The 18,043-nt window shown below is 51.7% G+C and overlaps 1 protein-coding gene across 6 annotated transcripts in view; it reads left to right on the top strand.

Moving 5' to 3' along the window:
* Nucleotides 1–12,517, top strand: part of SYT3 (synaptotagmin 3) — a 36,129-nt gene extending 23,612 nt beyond the window's left edge. For all 6 annotated transcript variants that reach the window (NM_001424346.1, NM_001160329.2, NM_001160328.2 and 3 more), the window contains 8 exons: nucleotides 1,683–2,208; nucleotides 4,323–4,710; nucleotides 4,982–5,200; nucleotides 8,477–8,597; nucleotides 8,930–9,101; nucleotides 9,200–9,332; nucleotides 11,739–11,807; nucleotides 12,013–12,517. In NM_001424346.1, the coding sequence (NP_001411275.1) occupies nucleotides 1,683–2,208; nucleotides 4,323–4,710; nucleotides 4,982–5,200; nucleotides 8,477–8,597; nucleotides 8,930–9,101; nucleotides 9,200–9,332; nucleotides 11,739–11,804 (1,625 nt within the window). In that variant the 3' untranslated portion in view covers nucleotides 11,805–11,807; nucleotides 12,013–12,517. The remainder of the gene's footprint in view (nucleotides 1–1,682; nucleotides 2,209–4,322; nucleotides 4,711–4,981; nucleotides 5,201–8,476; nucleotides 8,598–8,929; nucleotides 9,102–9,199; nucleotides 9,333–11,738; nucleotides 11,808–12,012) is intronic.
* Nucleotides 12,518–18,043: the final 5,526 nt, after the last annotated feature.

Below are 18,043 nucleotides of genomic sequence, written 5' to 3'. Positions count from 1 at the left end.
TCTCTCTCAGAGCCTGTTTTCTCATCTGTAAAATGGGATAAGTCATTCCAAAGTTATATAATGTCATAAGGATTAATGTCACACACCACTGTAGCTTCACTAAGCAGTACAGGACCAGAAGGCAACCCCTTCCTGCTGTGTGTCCCCTAATATAACTGGACACAGCCATTCCACTCAGCTGTCCTTGCCGGCAATGGCCTAGCTACCTGCTTCCCCACCATAACCCACTGTCTGTCAGGAGTAGGGATTTTCCCTGTCTTTCACTTTGTCAACACCCAGAAGTCCATTTCAAAACAAATTCCCATTCCTTGAAGGTCATTTCTGAAAAACCCCACTCCTGGTACCAATTACTGAAGAAGCCTAAAACCTTTGATTGTAAGAACAATTCTGTACTTGGGTTTCTCTGCAAGGCATATCAGCACATATGTGGCATTCAGAATGTGTTAGCTATCTTGTTGATGGTGTTGGACGCACATAGTGGCAGCAATAGGATTTATTATTCTAATAAAAATTCACATTTGAACTACCATTTATTGGGAAGCGTTGAGGTGTGATAGCATCATAGTAAAGACCATGGGCTCTGAAGCCAGGCTTCCCAGACTTAAATCCTGACTCTACCACCTACCAGCTATGGACTTTGAGCAGGTAACTATGGGTATACAGACCTCAGTTTTCTTTTGTGGAAAACAGGGATAAATATGTTGCCAACCTCATGTAGTGCCTGGCAGGCTTAAATAACCTGATCTCTATAAAGTACTGAGCTATTTGGTATGTAATCACCCCTCAAGATATGTTTGTTATTATCTTCCACATGTGATTTACCTTCTGCATTCCTTCAAACTACTGTAAGAGGGAAGAACTGATTTTTCCTACTTGGAAAATGGGAAATGTAAGGTTCAGAGTGGTCAAGATATGTTCCCAAGGCCACACAGCAAGCGTGATTTAAACCCTGCCCTGCCTAACTGTGTCGTGCAGGGTCCATGCTTCCTTGACCATCTCTGAGCATTTTGGAGGACCTTGGTGCTACCTCACATGTTGTGTTCTATTATAGAGAGGCAGCAAAGTCTAGTGATTAAGAGAATAAAATCTGGAGAGAGACTGCTGGATTCAAATCTCAGAACTGTCATTTATTACTTGTAAAACCTTAAACAAATCACTGAATCTCTCTGTGTCTCAGTTTCCTCATCTTTAAAATGGTCATATAGAACTACTGGGCTGGGCACAGTGGCCACATCTGTAATCACAGCACTTTGGGAGGCCAAGGTGGGAAGATTGCTTGAGGCCAGGAGTTCGAGCCAGCCTGGGCAACATAGCAAGACCTCATCTCTACAGAAAAATTTAAAAGTTAGCCAGGTGTGATAGCACATACCTGTAGTTCCAGCTTCTTGGGAGGCTGAGGTAAGAGGATTGCTTGAGCCCAAGAGTTCGAGGGTGCAGTGAGCTGTGATTATGCCACTGCACTCCAGCCTGAGTAACAGAGATTCCATCTCTTTAAAAAAATACAATACTTAACCTTGTAGAGTTGTAGAACATAAATTAAGTAATACATGTAAAGTGCCTGGCACTTGCAATTGCATGGACAATTGCATGGCAAATATGAAGGGTTAACTCTTTGGGGACAGCAGAGGGAGGATGTACTGTGACCCCATCCTGACCCCTACCTCTGTCCTCGTTCTCTCCAGACATCTCCGTGAGCCTGCTGTCGGTCATCGTGACATTCTGTGGCATTGTCCTTCTGGGTGTCTCTCTCTTCGTGTCCTGGAAGTTGTGCTGGGTGCCCTGGCGGGACAAGGGAGGCTCGGCAGTGGGCGGTGGCCCCCTGCGCAAAGACCTAGGCCCTGGTGTCGGGCTGGCAGGCCTGGTAGGCGGAGGCGGGCACCACCTGGCGGCTGGCCTGGGTGGCCATCCTCTGCTGGGCGGCCCACACCACCATGCCCATGCCGCCCACCATCCACCCTTTGCTGAGCTGCTGGAGCCAGGCAGCCTGGGGGGTTCTGACACCCCTGAGCCCTCCTACTTGGACATGGACTCGTATCCAGAGGCTGCAGCAGCAGCAGTGGCCGCTGGGGTCAAACCGAGCCAAACATCCCCTGAGCTGCCCTCTGAGGGGGGAGCAGGCTCTGGGTTGCTCCTGCTGCCCCCCAGTGGTGGGGGCTTGCCCAGTGCCCAGTCACATCAGCAGGTCACAAGCCTGGCACCCACTACCAGGTGAGAGAGGATACTGGGTTGGGGGTCCACTCTGAACTTCTGCTCCTCCTCTGTGTCTCTTTCCTATCTATAGCTCTTATGAGTTCGGGATTTGGAGGGGAATCGGGGTATTGACTCCTGGATCTTAGGGAAAGAGGAGGCTGGGGCCCTAGACTCCTGGATCTGAGGGAGGTTGGGGCTGTGGGGTCTAGACCCCTTGGACCAGAAGAAGTAGGGGACTGGGGGCCTGAATTCCTGGGTCCAGAGGGAGGAGACTGGGGGCAGGACTTAGGACAGGAAAGTAGAGGAGAATAAGGTTGGATCCCCAAGTCCCCTGTGGCACAAGGCAGTTCACCCCCTTTCACCCTAAGCCAGGATTGGTAGTGGGACCTGGAGTTCCTTCATTCATTATTTCTCAATATACATGTAAATGTATATTGAGCACTGATATAAACTAGGCCTGAGAGGGGTGTTAGGAAAACACCAGACTCTGCCCTCCTGTCACTCACAGCGCAGGGGAGGCGACCCCCAGACTGGCTGTCCTGGTGTAGCCAGGTTGGTGAGACAGGAAAGCGACTCAGGGAACCGCAACTGGGAGAAGGCTGGGAGCTTCCTGGAGGTGGAGATGTCTCAGCTGAGACCTGCAGGCTGAGGGAGAGTTGGGAAGGCAAAGAGGCAGGGCTGTGACCTGGGCATTCCAGGTGAAAGGAGAGGCCCAGGCAAAGACAAGAGGAGAACGAGATCCTAGTGCATTGTGAGGACAGCCCACACCAAGGGGACAGCCAGGGCACCAAGCCTTAGTCACCAAGGCATGAGAATAAGTTTGAAAAACGGAAAACTTCAGGCTGGGCGCAGTGGCTCATGCCTGTAATCCCAGCACTTTGGGAGGCCGAAGTGGGCAGATCACTTGAGGTCAGGAGTTCGAGACCAGCCTGGCCAATATGGTGAAACCCCATCTCTACTAAAAATACAAAAACAAACAAACAAAAATAGCCGGGCATGGTTGTGTGTGTCTGTAATCCCAGCTACTCGGGAGGCTGAGACGGGAGAATCTCTTGAACCTGGGAGCCAAGATTGCACCACTGTACTCCAGCCTGGGCAGCAGAGTGAGACTCCATCTCAAAAAAAAAAAAAAAAAAGAAAGAAAGAAAAAAGAAAAAGAAAACTTCAGAGATGTGACTACAGACACCAGACCACATGGGGCTTTGAGTGCCCGCCTGAGGGTCTGGGACTTTGTCCTGAGGGCACTGAGGAGCCATGGGAGGGCTGTGAGCAGGGGAGGGGCAGGCTCAGCTCTGGGTGTAGAAGGAACCCTCTGGGGCCATATGGGAGTGGGCTGGAGGGAGACACTGGAGGCTGAGAGTCCAGGAGAGGACAAGGCCTGAGCTGTGACCAGGACAGTGGGGATAGAGAGGAGAGACAGCCGGGGAGATTAAGAGAAGGGCAGAAGAGCGTTCAAAGAAGGTCTGCCAGGGGTCCATGGAGAAGCATCCTGGGTCACCAGCTTGAGGTCCAAAAGAGGTTACTGGAAGCTGGTTTATGCACAGGTCTGGGCTGGAGCTAGCTTTGAAATGGGGAGAATGAGGCTGGGTGTGGTGGCTCACACCTGTAATCCCAGCACTTTGGGAGGCCGAGGCGGGCAGATCATCTGAGGTCAGGAGTTTAAGACCAGCCTGACCAACATGGTGAAACCCCATCTCTGCTAAAAATATAAAAATTAGCCGGATATGGTGGTGCATGCCTGTAATCCCAGTTACTCGGGAGGCTGAGGCAGGATAATCACTTGAACCTGGGAGGCAGAGTTTGCAGTGGGCCGAGATCGCGCCTTTGCACTCCAGCCTGGGTGACAAGAGCAAAACTTCGTCTCAAAAGAAAAGGAAAGAAGGAAGGAAGGAAAGAAGGGAGGGAGGGAGGGAGGGAGGGAGAGAAGGAATGCCCCCCAGATACCAATGGGGAATCTGAGGCTCAGAGAGCACAGTGGCTTCCTCAAGCTCACACAGTGAGCAAAGGAGGGGACTTGTGGCCACCTGGCTGGGGGATGGGGGGAAAGGCAGGGAGGAGTCTCCCAGGTCTCTGCATGCAGTCGAAGATCAGAGCCACTGACCTCACCTTGGTCTCCCCCCAACCCCCTACAGGTACCCAGCCCTGCCCCGACCCCTCACCCAGCAGACTCTGACCTCCCAGCCGGACCCCAGCAGTGAGGAGCGGCCACCTGCCCTGCCCTTACCCCTGCCTGGAGGCGAGGAAAAAGCCAAACTCATTGGGCAGATTAAGCCAGAGCTGTACCAGGGGACTGGCCCTGGTGGCCGGCGGAGCGGTGGGGGCCCAGGCTCTGGAGAGGCAGGCACAGGGGCACCCTGTGGCCGTATCAGCTTCGCCCTGCGGTACCTCTATGGCTCGGACCAGCTGGTGGTGAGGATCCTGCAGGCCCTGGACCTCCCTGCCAAGGACTCCAACGGCTTCTCAGACCCCTACGTCAAGATCTACCTGCTGCCTGACCGCAAGAAAAAGTTTCAGACCAAGGTCCGGAGCAGCGGGCTGGACACCGGGTTCCCACAGAGAGGGAGCTAGGGCTCTGGACTCCCGGGTCTGAGGGAGGAGGGGCTGGGGGCCTGGACTCCCGGGTCTGAGGGAGGAGGGGCTGGGGGCCTGGACTCCCGGGTCTGAGGGAGGAGGGGCTGGGGGCCTGGACTCCTGGGTCTGAGGGAGGAGGGGCTGGGGGCTGGACTCCTGGATCCTGTGGAGGAGGGGCTTATGGGCACGGTGTCTGTCTCCTGTCGCCCACCACCACCAGGTGCACAGGAAGACCCTGAACCCCGTCTTCAATGAGACGTTTCAATTCTCGGTGCCCCTGGCCGAGCTGGCCCAACGCAAACTGCACTTCAGCGTCTATGACTTTGACCGCTTCTCGCGGCACGACCTCATCGGCCAGGTGGTGCTGGACAACCTCCTGGAGCTGGCCGAGCAGCCCCCTGACCGCCCGCTCTGGAGGGACATCGTGGAGGGCGGCTCGGTCAGTGGCCCTCTCCCCTGACCTTCCCCTTCCCAGGGCCCTGAGACCCCCCGGGTTGCAAGCCCCCTGCCCTCAGAGTTCATAACTTCCTCACTTCTTGTCCCCACATTTTTCTGTTAAAATGTATCACACTGGGGAAGACTGCAAACTTACAGGCAAGAATAGAGAATGAGCCGGGCGCGGTAGCTCATGCCTATAATCCCAGCACTTTGGGAGGCCAGGTGGGCAGATCACTTGAGGTTGGGAGTTCGAGACCAGCCTGGCCAACATGGAGAAACCCCATCTCTACTAAAAATACAAAAATTAGCCGGGCATGGTGGCACATGCCTGTAATCCCAGCTACTTAGGAGGATGAGGCAGGAGAATCGCTTGCACCAGGAAGTGGAGGTTGTGGTGAGCAGAGATCATGCCATTGCACTCCAGCGTAGGCAACAAGAGCGAAACTCCGTCTCAAAAAAAAAAAAAAAAGAACAGATAATGATACAGTGGACACCATTCCTCTCCTCAACATCGCCAAATGTTAGCATCAGGTCTGGATCCGATTTTCCAACCTCTCACCCGCTTTGCCATAGGATGCCTTCCTGCCTCAACCCCATGACTTCTCCCCTCTCACCCCAGACTTCTTACCTTCCTAACTTCCTGACTTTCCAATGACTGGACTTCTGGAAGCCCCAGTCCCTCTCTAATCTCTGAACTTCTGAAAGCCCCAATCCCTCTCTAATCTCTGAACTTCTGAATTTTCCCAACCCCTGACATTGGAACTCTTTCATATTCTGACCCTCTGTTTTTTCATGGTCCCTGCCCGAATGCTGATAGCTTGATCCCCCAGGCCTCAGCCATCCTGGGATCCCCAATATGCAGACACTCCTCAGTTCTCCCAGCATCCAGATTATAGGGCCCAATGGCTTCTTCCTTATTCCTTGCGACCCCTGCCCTCTGGTATCTCATTCTCCCTGTACCTCCAATCCCTCCCCAGCCCCATTCTTAGGTACTTCTTGTGTGTGTGTCCTGAGCTCTTCTGCCCCACCAAATCTCAGATCCTCAACTCTACAGCGCCCCCGCTCCAACCTAATTTGTGGATTATCCAACATTCCAGTTCTCTGCCAATCTGGGGTAGCTGTGTGTGTGTTGTGGGGAGGGCGGCCTTCATATCAGGAGAGGACTAGACCTCCTCAAGGTTCTTTCCTTTTCTGAGCCTCAGTTTCCCCATCTGTTCAATGACAGATGTCCAGTTGAGCTGGGTGCCAGGTAGGCTTTTTGGGTAGCTCTTTGGGTAGGCTTCTTCATGGGGCCCTCCCCAGCCTGCCTGCTTGGCCCCCAAGCCCAGCCTTTGAGATTGAAGTGCCCAGTTCCAAGGTCCCAGGGCCCCTGTGTATTCCACCAGCTCCTACTCCCAGTCATCACCCATGGCAGCCCCATGCCAGGGCCTTCTCTCTGTATCCATGCTGGCCTAATTCTTGTGCTCACCCTTCTCATTTTCTCTCTCCATCATCATCACTTGAGGTTTTCCTCACTCATTCCATTGATTCATACATTCTCTCTCTCTCATTTTTTTTTTTTTTTTTTTGAGACAGAGTCTCTCTCTGTCACCCAGGCTGGAGTACAGTGGCGCAATCTCAGCTCACTGCAACCTCCACCTCCCGGGTTCAAGTGATTGTGATTCTCATGCTTCAGTCACCCAAGTAGCTGGGATTACAGGCACCTGCCACCATGCCCGGCTAATTTTTGTATTTTTAGTAGAGACAGGGTTTCGCCATGCTGGCCAGGCTGGTCTCGAACTCCTGAGCTCAGGTTAACCGCCCACCTCAGCCTCCCAAAGTGCTGGGATTACAGGCATCAGCCACTGCACCCAGCCTTCATTCATTTCTTCAACCACTGTTTTTTTCAGGAGCAGGGCCTGGGGACCCCAGGCAGCCCTCGGCAGCTCCAGGTCTAGATGGTCGGGCCTTGTGTCAGGGGCCAGGGTTATGGGGAGGCACAGGAGGAGCCTCTGCAGGGCTGTGGGGGATCTGGGAGCTTGTGGAACGAGGGGAGGCTCAAAGGCCAAGGAGAGATAGAGGGAAGAGTGTTCTGGCAGAGGGACAGCCTGGGCAGATGCCCTGAGGGGAATGAGTAGGGAGTCCTGGGCACAGTTGGGAGGCCGCAGGGCTAGGCCAGGTTGGTCAAAGCTCCCAGCTAGCTCCAGCGTGGCTCCAGCCTGTGTGTCAGGGTTGGGGGCAGTCCTGGAAACTTCGGTGGAGGTTGATGAATCTCCTGCCCTCTCTCAGGCTGGTTTATGTGTGTGTGTCTGCTTGGTCTTTGTCCCACTCTGTCTGAGTCAGCCTCTCTCTCTCTCTCTCTCTTTCTCTTGGTGCAGGGAGTAGGGTATCTGAGTCTAGGTTTCTCTCTCGCTCTCTGGTCTCTGCCCCTCCACTCTAATTCTAGGTAACTATCACTCTCTCTGGGTCTTTATGCACCCCCAACCCACTGTCTCTGTCCCTCTCTCTCTCTGGGCCTCTGTCTCTCTCTGAGTCTCTCTCTATATATATCTCTCTCTCTTTCTCTCTCTGGGTCTCTGTACCCCCTGTCTCTGGGCTTCTGTCTCTCTCTGGGTCTCTATCTCTCTGTCTCTGGGTCTCTGTCCCCCTCTCTGTCTGGGTCTCTGCCCCTTTCTCTCTCTGGGTCTGTCCTCCTCTCTCTGGGTCTCTGTCCCCCTCTCTTTCTGGGCCTCTGTCCTCCTCTCTCTCTGGGCTTCTGTCCTCCTCTCTCTCTGGGTCTCTGTCCTCCTCTCTGGGTCTCTGTCCCCCCCCCTCTCTCTCTGGGCCTCTGTCCCCCTCTCTCTCTGGGTCTCTGTCTCCCTCTCTTTCTGGGTCTCTGTCTCCCTCTCTCTGGGTCTCTCTCTGTGTCTGTCTCTGGGCCTCTGTCCCTCTGACTTGAGAACTTTGCCTGTGGGTCTGTCTTTCCAGCTGTATCCCTCCGTGTTTTGGCTTCTGTCTCAGTCTATTTCTCTTTGTGTTTTCTCTCTCTCTCACCTTCTCTGTCTCTCCCCTCCTCTCTCTCTCCCCTCACTCATGCTTCTTCCAATCTTTCCTGCAGAACAAATAAGCTTTGATGGTCATGGGCAGCTGTGGCCAGGGAATTACTGGGCCTTGTCCCAAGAGTCAGATTGCTAAGTGGATGGGAAGCCTGAGCCCTGGATGTCAGGGTGTAAAGCAGGAGGCTCCGACCGGAGAGAAAATCAGGGAGAGTTGAAGAGGGGCTGAGGCAAGATATCGCTGACCTTTTCCCCAACTGCAGGAAAAAGCAGATCTTGGGGAGCTCAACTTCTCACTCTGCTACCTCCCCACGGCCGGGCGCCTCACCGTGACCATCATCAAAGCCTCTAACCTCAAAGCGATGGACCTCACTGGCTTCTCAGGTGAGGGTCCTGGGTCTGAGGGAGGAGGGCTGGGGGCCTGGACTCCTGGGTCTGAGGGAGGAGGGGCCAGGGGCCTGGACTCCTGGGTCTGAGGGAGGAGGAGCTGGGGATCTGGACTCCTGGGTCTGAGGGAGGAGGGGCCAGGGGCCTGGACTCCTGGGTCGGAGAGAGGAGGACCTGGGGTCTGGACTCTTGGGCCTGAGGAAGGAGGGACTGGGGGCCTGGGGCCCCGGACCTCTGGGTCTGAGGGAGGAGGGGCTCGGGGCCTGGGGTCCTGGACCCCTAGGTCTGAGGGAGTGAGTCTCTGTTCCTTACTTCATTGCTGTTCCCAGACCCCTACGTGAAGGCCTCCCTGATCAGCGAGGGGCGGCGTCTGAAGAAGCGGAAAACCTCCATCAAGAAGAACACGCTGAACCCCACCTATAATGAGGCGCTGGTGTTCGACGTGGCCCCCGAGAGCGTGGAGAACGTGGGGCTCAGCATCGCCGTGGTAGACTACGACTGGTGAGGGGCGCGGCCCGGGCGGGGGTCAGGCAGGAGGGCTGGGGTGGGGACAGGCCCTCCCACCACCCTCCACGGTCCTCACTGACCCCAACCCCCAGCATCGGGCACAACGAGGTGATCGGCGTGTGCCGTGTGGGCCCCGACGCTGCCGACCCGCACGGCCGCGAGCACTGGGCAGAGATGCTGGCCAATCCCCGCAAGCCCGTGGAGCACTGGCATCAGCTAGTGGAGGTGAGTAGGGGTCCCACACCGACCCCTGACAAGCACCCGTGCACCCTCGGCCCCTTCATCCATGCAACGAACGCCCTGCATGTTCGTGAGTCGCAGAGCCAGGCGTCCTAGGTTTCAATCCCTGCTGTGCCAACTTTAGCTGTGCGGCTTAGAGCCAGTTACCCAAGCGCTCTGTGCCTCAATTTACCCACTAGGAAATGGGACTGTTGATAGCATCTTCTGTTAGGATAGAGGTGAGATGTGCTGAGTTAAACGTTCTGTAGGTGGTCGCTGCTGTTGTTACCCATGAGGCTAAGTTGAAAATAGAGGGGGCTGGGCGTGGTGGCTCACGCCTGTAATCCCAGCACTTTGGGAGGCCGAGGAGGGTGGATCACCTGAGGTCAGGAGTTTGAGACCAGCCTGACCAACATGGAGAAACCCTGTCTCTACTAAAAATACAAAATTAGCTGGGCGTGGTGGCGCACGCCTGTAATCCCAGCTACTTGGGAGGCTGAGGCAGGAGAATCGCTTGAACCTGGGAGGCAGAGGTTGCGGTGAGCTGAGGTGGCGCCATTGCACTCCAGCCTGGGCGACAGAGCAAGACTCTGTCTCAAAAAAAAAAAAAAAAGTCATTTAAGATTATCGCTTGATCAGGAGAAATAATCAAACATGGCCATTCTCTCAATAGAAAACAAGAGGAGCAAAGAAGTAGCTTTAGAAAGTGTTATTGGCAGATTTGCCTCCATTAAAAGCCAAGAAAGTCAAATTATTCAAATTCTGTCTAGGGTATATATGAAAGATTTAAATGTAAAATAATGTTGTGAATTTCAACACACTTACTTCATTTTTCAGTATTTTTCAACTAGTTTAGCATTCCAGGAAAAATAAATTTAGAAAAAATATATAAAAACTTGGGCAGGGCACAGTGGCTCATGCCTGAAATCCCAGCACAGGCCTTGGGAGGCCAAGGTGGGTGGATCACTTGAGCCTGGGAGTTTAAGACTAGCCTGAGCAACATGGGGAGAGCCTGTCTCTACAAAAATAATTTAGGAATTAGCTAGGCATGGTAGTGTGTGCTTATAGTCCCTGCTACTCAGGAGGCTGAGGCAGGAGGATCTCTTGAGCCCAGGAGTTTGTTACTGCAGTGAGCTATGATCTCACCACCACACTCCAGCCTGGGCAATGGAGCAGGAACCCCTCTCCTTAAAAAAAAAAAAAAAGCAAGTATATGAGGGCACATACATTTCCTTTGAAATAGCAGTCTGATGTGGCATGAGACTGGCCTTTTTTAAAAATTTGATATTTTCTTCATCATTGATTTTTTTGCATTAATTTTGATTTTTTTTAAAATCTTGCATTATTATTATTATTGTTATTATTGAGACAGAGTCTCACTCTGTCACCCAGGCTGGAGTGCAGTGTTGCAGTCTTGGCTCACTGCAACCTCCCCCTCCCTGAGTACAAGTGATTCTCCTGCTTCAGCCTCCCAAGTAGCTGGGACTACAGGCGTGTGCCACCTCACCCTGCTAATTTTTTTTTTTTTTTTTTTTTTTTTTTTTTTTTTTTTTTGTAGAGACAGGGTTTTGCCATGTTGTCCAGGCTGGTCTCAACTTCCCACCTCAAGTGATCCACCCACCTTGGGCTCCCAAAGTGCTGGGATTATAGGCGTGAGCCACCGCGCCTGGCCAATATTGCATGAAATATTCTTTATCTTGATTGCTGCATTTGGGGCACACATTTACATTTAGTACTGGGTGAAACTTTCACCACATCACCAGATTTAGTCTGGCCCTGCTGTGGGCTTTTTTCCAGTGATCATGAGGGACCCGACACCTGGGCACAGAACTCAGATTTGAGATTGGAAAAGACGGGGACTCTACTAAGGTGGATAGGATGGAGGCTACTCCCTCCTCCTGTCATTCACTCATTCATCCGTTCATTAATTCATCCCACCAACCTTCCCAGGAGTTTCTGGTGAGCCACTGCCCATGTTGGGCAACGCTGGTGGCACAGAGTCTAGGCCGAGTCCTGACACTGCCCATGAATTTCAGCCCCTCATGCTCCCTGTGGCCCCAGAAGATCCTTCTACACCCAGAGCTTCCCCTCCCCTTCCTTGCTCACAGCCCTCCCGTGGCTCCCCAGTGGCCCCAGGACAGAGTCTCAGCCCCTCTGATACCATGCAGGACTTGCCCCACTCATCCCTACAGCCTCATCTCTCCTCGCATTTGCAGAGACTCCTCTTTTTTGTGCCTCCATTTCCCCATCTGTAGAATGGAATTGTAATACCATCTGTCCGTCACTTCAGGGCCAAGTGAGAAAGCGCATCCTAAATAATGAAACAGGATTGACGTCTTCTCCTGTTGATGATTAGCATCTGTTTCAACTCTCTGTCTCTCACTCCCGAACCTTCTGCACTTTCTCCTTTAGGAAAAGACTGTGACCAGCTTCACAAAAGGCAGCAAAGGACTATCAGAGAAAGAGAACTCCGAGTGAGGGGTAAGCAGCCTGGCCACAGGGAAGGGGCTGGGGGTGGAGATGCCTGCGTCTGAGGGAGGAGGGGCTGGGGGCCTGGACTCCTGGGTCTGAGGGAGGAGGGGCTGCGCCTGGGACTCCTGGATCTCTGGGTGGTGATGGAGCTACAGGAGGTCGTGGTGCAGTTCTCTGCCATTGCTGACCCCTCCTTTCCTGCTCCATCGTGCAGGTCTGGCCTAGGCCCGGGATCGGACCAGGCTCCCTCAGGACCCCATCCTTTCCTGCCCGGACCGTGAATTCATCTCCTTGAAGCCATAACGTCCGAGCTGCTGGTGCGGGGCAGCCCTGGCCCTAGGCTTCCTAACCCTGGAAGCGAGAGGATGAGAGGAGGCCGGCCCAGCTCCTTCTTTCAGGGTGGGGGTCATTCAGCCTCCACTGTGTCTGTCTTTTCTTCCCTGGGGCTCCCCCTCGAGGCGAGGGGCCATGCATGTCTGGGGGACCCCTGCCCCCCAAAACCCTCTGTCTGTCTCTGTCTCTTTGCTGTTTGTCCAAGACTCAGTGTCCCGACCCTTGTTCTCGCCGTGAATGTCAATGGGCCAATCCTCTCTGTCCTTTCAGACACACACACACCTGTGTCCACCCCTTCTGTTCGCCACACCCCTGCGTCTGGCCGGTCCCCCCACTGCTGCTGCTATCAACGCCAGAATAAACACACTCTGTGGGTCTCACTCCAACTGGGCCTCCTGTCCTCTCTGAGACTGGGAAACCGGATTGGAACATGCTGGCTCTGCAAGCAGACAAATTTGTGTTTCTTTCAATGACTGGGCAACTTAATGATCTCTCTGAGCCTCAGTTTATAAAAATGGTGTTAGTCAGGATCATTGTGAGTACAGAACACAAAATTCAACCCAAAGCCATAAACAGAATTGAAAGACCTCTGTCCATGGAAAGCCTATGAACACATTGAACACAGAGGGACTTCAGGCTGTTCAAGGGACTCTCACTTCTGCTTTCCTCTTTTTTTTTTTGGATGGAGTTTCACTCTTGTTGCCCAGGCTGGAGTGCAGTGGTGTGATCTCGGCTCACTGCAACCTCGCGGTTTCAAGCAATTCTCCTGCCTCGGCCTCCTGAGTAGCTGGGATTACAGCCGCTCGCCACCACGCCTGGCTAATTTTTTGTATTTTTAGTAGAGACGGGGTTTCACCATGTTGGCAGGCCGGTCTCAAACTGCTGACCTCCTGTGATCTGCCCGCCTTGGCCTCCCAAAGTGCTGGGATTACAGGCGTGAGCCACCGCGCCTGGCTATTGGCTTCTCTCTCGGGTAGGTGTTTGCAGTGGCAATGAGATGGTCACTTGGAGCTCCAGGTGTATAATGCTGTATCTGTTATGATACCTTCGGCTGAAAAAAAAAAAAAAAACTTCCCAACTGAAAGAGAAAGATTTTTTTGCATGTTTGCATATCAAATTTTTCAAAGACAGTCCCAGGGTTGGTTCAGCTGCTCAACAACATTAGGCTCTGGTTGGCATCTCTGAGACTGGTGTTCGTTCCCCTCCTGAGTACAAACTGTCTATAGCAGCATCATGTTTTCACACACTGGCATCTAAATCAGGCAGTGTAGACCGGGGCCTCCCCTTCTGTGTTCCCCATTTTTCCTCCTCAGAATAATTCTCCTTATTTCTCTCTTGCCAGAACCCGGCTGTGTGGCTACCCCGAGTTGCAAAGCGGTCTGGGTAGTGAACATCTGTCATTTCCAGTCCCCATGGTGGGGTGCGGGCTTTGCCTAGAGGAAGCACGGGGAGGGGAACTATTGTTGGGTAGGAAATTAACAGGATCTGCTGCCATTGCAAGAAATTAACAGGACTTGTAATTGCCTTCAGAGCAGATAACTTCAGAGGAAACAATGTGAGAATCAGCTGGCTCCCAGCTGCTGTGTCATTCAGGAACAGGATTCTGATTGGTCCAGCGCAGACCTTGGAGACACCCCGGGCCAATCATTGGGTCCAGTTTGGAGCCTACTCTTGGGCCCGCCTCCTGCCTTTGCTGACTCCTCCTCCTCCTCCCCTGCCCATCTTGCCCAGGATTGGTCCAAAGCCCCTCTGCACCTCATCCCTTTTTGCTGGAGGGATGAATTCATCTCCTGGAAGCCATATATGTAGGGGTCCCTTGACTGACAGTTCCAAGTGAATCACACGGCAATGGGCAAGGGACAGTCCCTCAAAGCAGTAGGTGTCCACTACATTCTACCCTCAGCTACTTCACACTAATTCACATCTACATTCCGGGACACAACATTTCAAAAACTCCCACTGCAAAAATTGGTCCAATCACTGTGTCAGTTTGCTAGGACTGATGTAACAAGTTACAATAACCTAGCTGAAAACAACAGAAATTTATTCTCTCACAGCTCTGGAGGCCAGAAGTCTGAAGTCAATGTGGTAGTAACCACCAGGCACAGTGGCTCATGCCTGTAAATCCCAGCACTTTGGGAGGCTGAGGCAGGAGGATCGCTCAAGCCCAGGAGTTTGAGACCAGGTAATATGGTGAGATTCTCTTAAAAAAAAAAAAAAAAATTGGCCGGGCATGGTGATGTTCACTTGTAGTTCCAGCTACTTTGGAGGTCGAGGTGGGAGTATTGCTCGAGCTCAGGAGTTCGAGACCAGCCTGGGCAGCATAGCAAGACCCTGTCTCTACAAATAATAGTAGTAGTAGTAGTAGTAATAATAATAATAATAATAATAATAATAATAATAATAATAATAAAATTATCCAGGTATAATAATAATAATAATAATAATAATAATAATAATAAAATTATCCAGGCATGATGGTGCTCACCTGTAGTCCCAGCTACTCTGGTGGCTGAGGCAGGAGGATCACTTGAGCCCAGGAGTTTGAGGCTGCAGTGAGCTGTGATGGCACTGCTGCCCTGCATCTCAAAAACATGATGCCGTGTGATACAGCCAGATACAAGGGTATATGCTGTAGGATTCCACTTTTGTGAAACTGTAGAAAGAAAACACTAATATGGGCAGGGCATGGTGGCTCACGCCTGTAATCCTAGCACTTTGGGAGGCTGAGGCAGGCGGATTACTTGAGATCAGAAGTTCAAAAGCAGCCTGGCACCTGTAATCCCAGCTACTTGGGAGGCTGAGGTAGGAGAATCGGGAGGCGGAGGTTGCAGTGAGCCGATCATGCCACTGCACTCCAGCCTGGGCAACAGAGTGAGACTCCAACTCAAAAAAGAGAGAAAGAAAGAGAGAGAGAGAAGGAAGGAAGGAAGGAAGGAAGGAAGGAAGGAAGGAAGGAAGGAAGGAAGGAAGGAAGGAGAGAGAGAGAAAGAAAGAAAAAAGAAAAGAAAAGAAAAGAAAGAGAAAGAAAGAAAGACGCCAGAGGCCAGGCACAGTGGCTCACCCTGTAATCCCAGCACTTTGGGAGGCCAAGGCAGGTGGATCACGAGGTCAGGAGTTCAAGACCAGCCTGGCCAACATGGTAAAACCCCATCTCTACTAAAAATACAAAAATTAACCGGGTGTGGTAGCGAGTGCCTGTAATCCCAGCTACTTTGGAGGCTGAGGCAGGAGAATGGCTTGAACCTGGGAGGCGGAGGTTGTAGTGAGCTGAGATCACACCACTGAACTCCAGCCTGGGTGACAGAGTAAAAGAAAAGAAAAGAAGAGAAGAGAAGAAAAGAGAAAAGAAAAGGCTAATACGCAGGGGCAGAAAATGGATTAGTGGTTGACTGGGGGCAGTGGCAGTGGTTATGGAGAGACTGATTACTAGTGGACACAGGGAAACTTTCCGGATGATGGAAGTGATCACACAACCGAATACATTTGTCAAAATTCATTGCGCTTAAAATTGGTTCATTTAAATTCTTGTACATTGTTGCAAAATACACATAACACAAACTTTATCATCTTAGCCAATTTTTTTTTTTTGAGACGGAGTCTCGCTGCAATGCCCAGGCTGGAGTGCAATGGCATGATCTTGGCTCACTGCAACCTCCACTTCCCCGGTTCAAGCGATTCTCCTGCCTCAGCTTCCAGAGTAGCTGAGATTACAGGCATGAGCCACCTCCCCAGGACTTAGCCAATTTTAAGTGTACAGTTGCATTGTTGTGCAATCATCACCCCTACTCATCTCCACTCTTTCCTCTTGTAGAATTGAAACTGTTCCCATCAAGCAACTCCCACTGCCTTCCCTTCCCAGCCCCTGGGAAGCACGTTCTACTCTCTGGGAAATTCCCTATGAATTTGACTACTCTAGGTACCTCATGTAAGTGGAATCATACAGCATCTGTCTTTTTGTGATGGGATTGTTTCACTTAGCATGAATGTCCTCAGGCTTCACCCATGTTGTAGCATGTGTTAGCATTTCCTTCCTTTTTAAGGTTAAATAATTTTCCATTATGGGCCAGGCACAGTGACTCACACCTGTAATCCCAGCACTTTGGGAGGAAGAGGCAGGCGGATCACGAGGTCAGGAGATCGAGACCATCCTGGTCAACATGGTGAAACCCCATCTCTACTAAACTACAAAAAATTAGCCGGGCGTGGTGGCAGGCGCCTATAGTCCCAGCTACTCGGGAGGCTGAGGCAGGGGAATCACTTAAACCTGGGAGGCGGAGGTTGCAGTGAGCCAAGATCGCACCCCTGCACTCTAGCCTGGGCGACAGAGCGAGACTCCATCTCAAAAAAAAAAATCCATTATGTGTATATACCACATTTTGTCGAACCATTTATTTGTTGATGAACAGCTGGGTTGCCTCCTTCACCTTTTGGGTATTGTAAATAATGCTGCTATGAAAGTGTGTTGCAAATATCTTTTTGAAATATTGATACATTTTCTTGTACACAAATTATATTTTGATAAAGTTGGCTAAAACTAATACTCCCACCTAACATAACTATCTCTAGTGCAACTGCAGAAGCTTTCACCCCTTCTGCAAAGGGAGGGATCCCAAAGCCACATCCAATCCTCAGACCAAGATTTCTGGATATTGGCTATTCCTTTCATCAAGGGCACATGGAGTCTCTCTTGATCCTGAAAATTAATGTTAAGGCTGGGCACGGTAGCTCACACCTGTAATCCCAGCACTTTGGGAGGCCAAGGCAAGTGGATCACCTGAGGTCAGGAGTTCAAGACCAGCCTGGCCAGCATGGTGAAACCCTGTCTCTACTAAAAGTACAAAAATTAGCCCGGCATGGTGGCACACACCTATAATCCCAGCTACTCGGGAGGCCGAGGCAGAAGAATCACTTGAACCTGGGAGGCGGAGGTTGCAGTCAGCGGAGATTGTGCCACTGCACTCCAGCCTGGTGACAGAGCAAGACTCCATCTAAAAAAAAAATTAATGTTAAATGAAATTGTAGCCCCCTCAGCAACCCACCCCTGTGTATAACAGTGGAGGAAAAACAAGAAAACAATCACAATTCTCACTTGAAAGGGGAGGGAAGAGAAACAAAATAGTATATGCCATTTGCTGGACTTGCCAAGACTCCTCCACTTTCAAGAGACAAAAAACTGGCCTTTTAAAAAATTATTGCCAAGCTCGGTGGCTCATGCCTGTAATCCCAGCACTTTGAGAGGCTAAGATGGGAGGATCACTAGAGCCCAGGAGTTCGAGACCCAGCCTTGGCAACATAGCAAGACTCCATCTCTTTAAATATATATATATATATAAATAGCCAAGTGCCATGGTGTGCACCTGTAGTCCCAGCTACTCAGGTGGGAGGATCGCTTGAGCCCAGGAGGTCAAGGCTGCAGTGAGCCATGGTTGAGCCACTGCAGTCCAGTCTGGATGACAGAGACCCAGTTTCAAAAAAACAATTATTGAAGTACAACATACTCACAAAGAAACTCACAAATACCCAGTAAGTATGGATCAGATAACAGACTGAGCACACCATGTAACCATGGGTAACCAGCCCTGGGTCAGGAACTAGAACATTACCAGCTCTCCAAACCCCTCATGCTCCTTGTCAGTCACTTTTTTGTGTTTTTTTTTTTTTTGAGACAGAGTCTCGCCTGGAGTGCAGTGGCGCTATCTCGGCTCACTGCAAGCTCCGCCTCCTGGGTTCACGCCATTCTCCTGCCTCGGCCTCCCGAGTAGCCGGGACTACAGGCGCCTGCCACTATGCATGGCTAATTTTTTTGTATTTTTAGTAGAGACGGGGTTTCACCGTGTTAGCCAGGATGGTCTCGATCTCCTGACCTCATGATCTGCCCACCTCGGCCTCCCAAAGTGCTGGGATTACAA

Source organism: Homo sapiens, chromosome 19 (genome assembly GCF_000001405.40).
Source record: "Homo sapiens chromosome 19, GRCh38.p14 Primary Assembly".
Classification (NCBI taxonomy): domain Eukaryota; kingdom Metazoa; phylum Chordata; class Mammalia; order Primates; family Hominidae; genus Homo; species Homo sapiens.
This window is presented reverse-complemented; position numbering and strand designations above follow the sequence as displayed.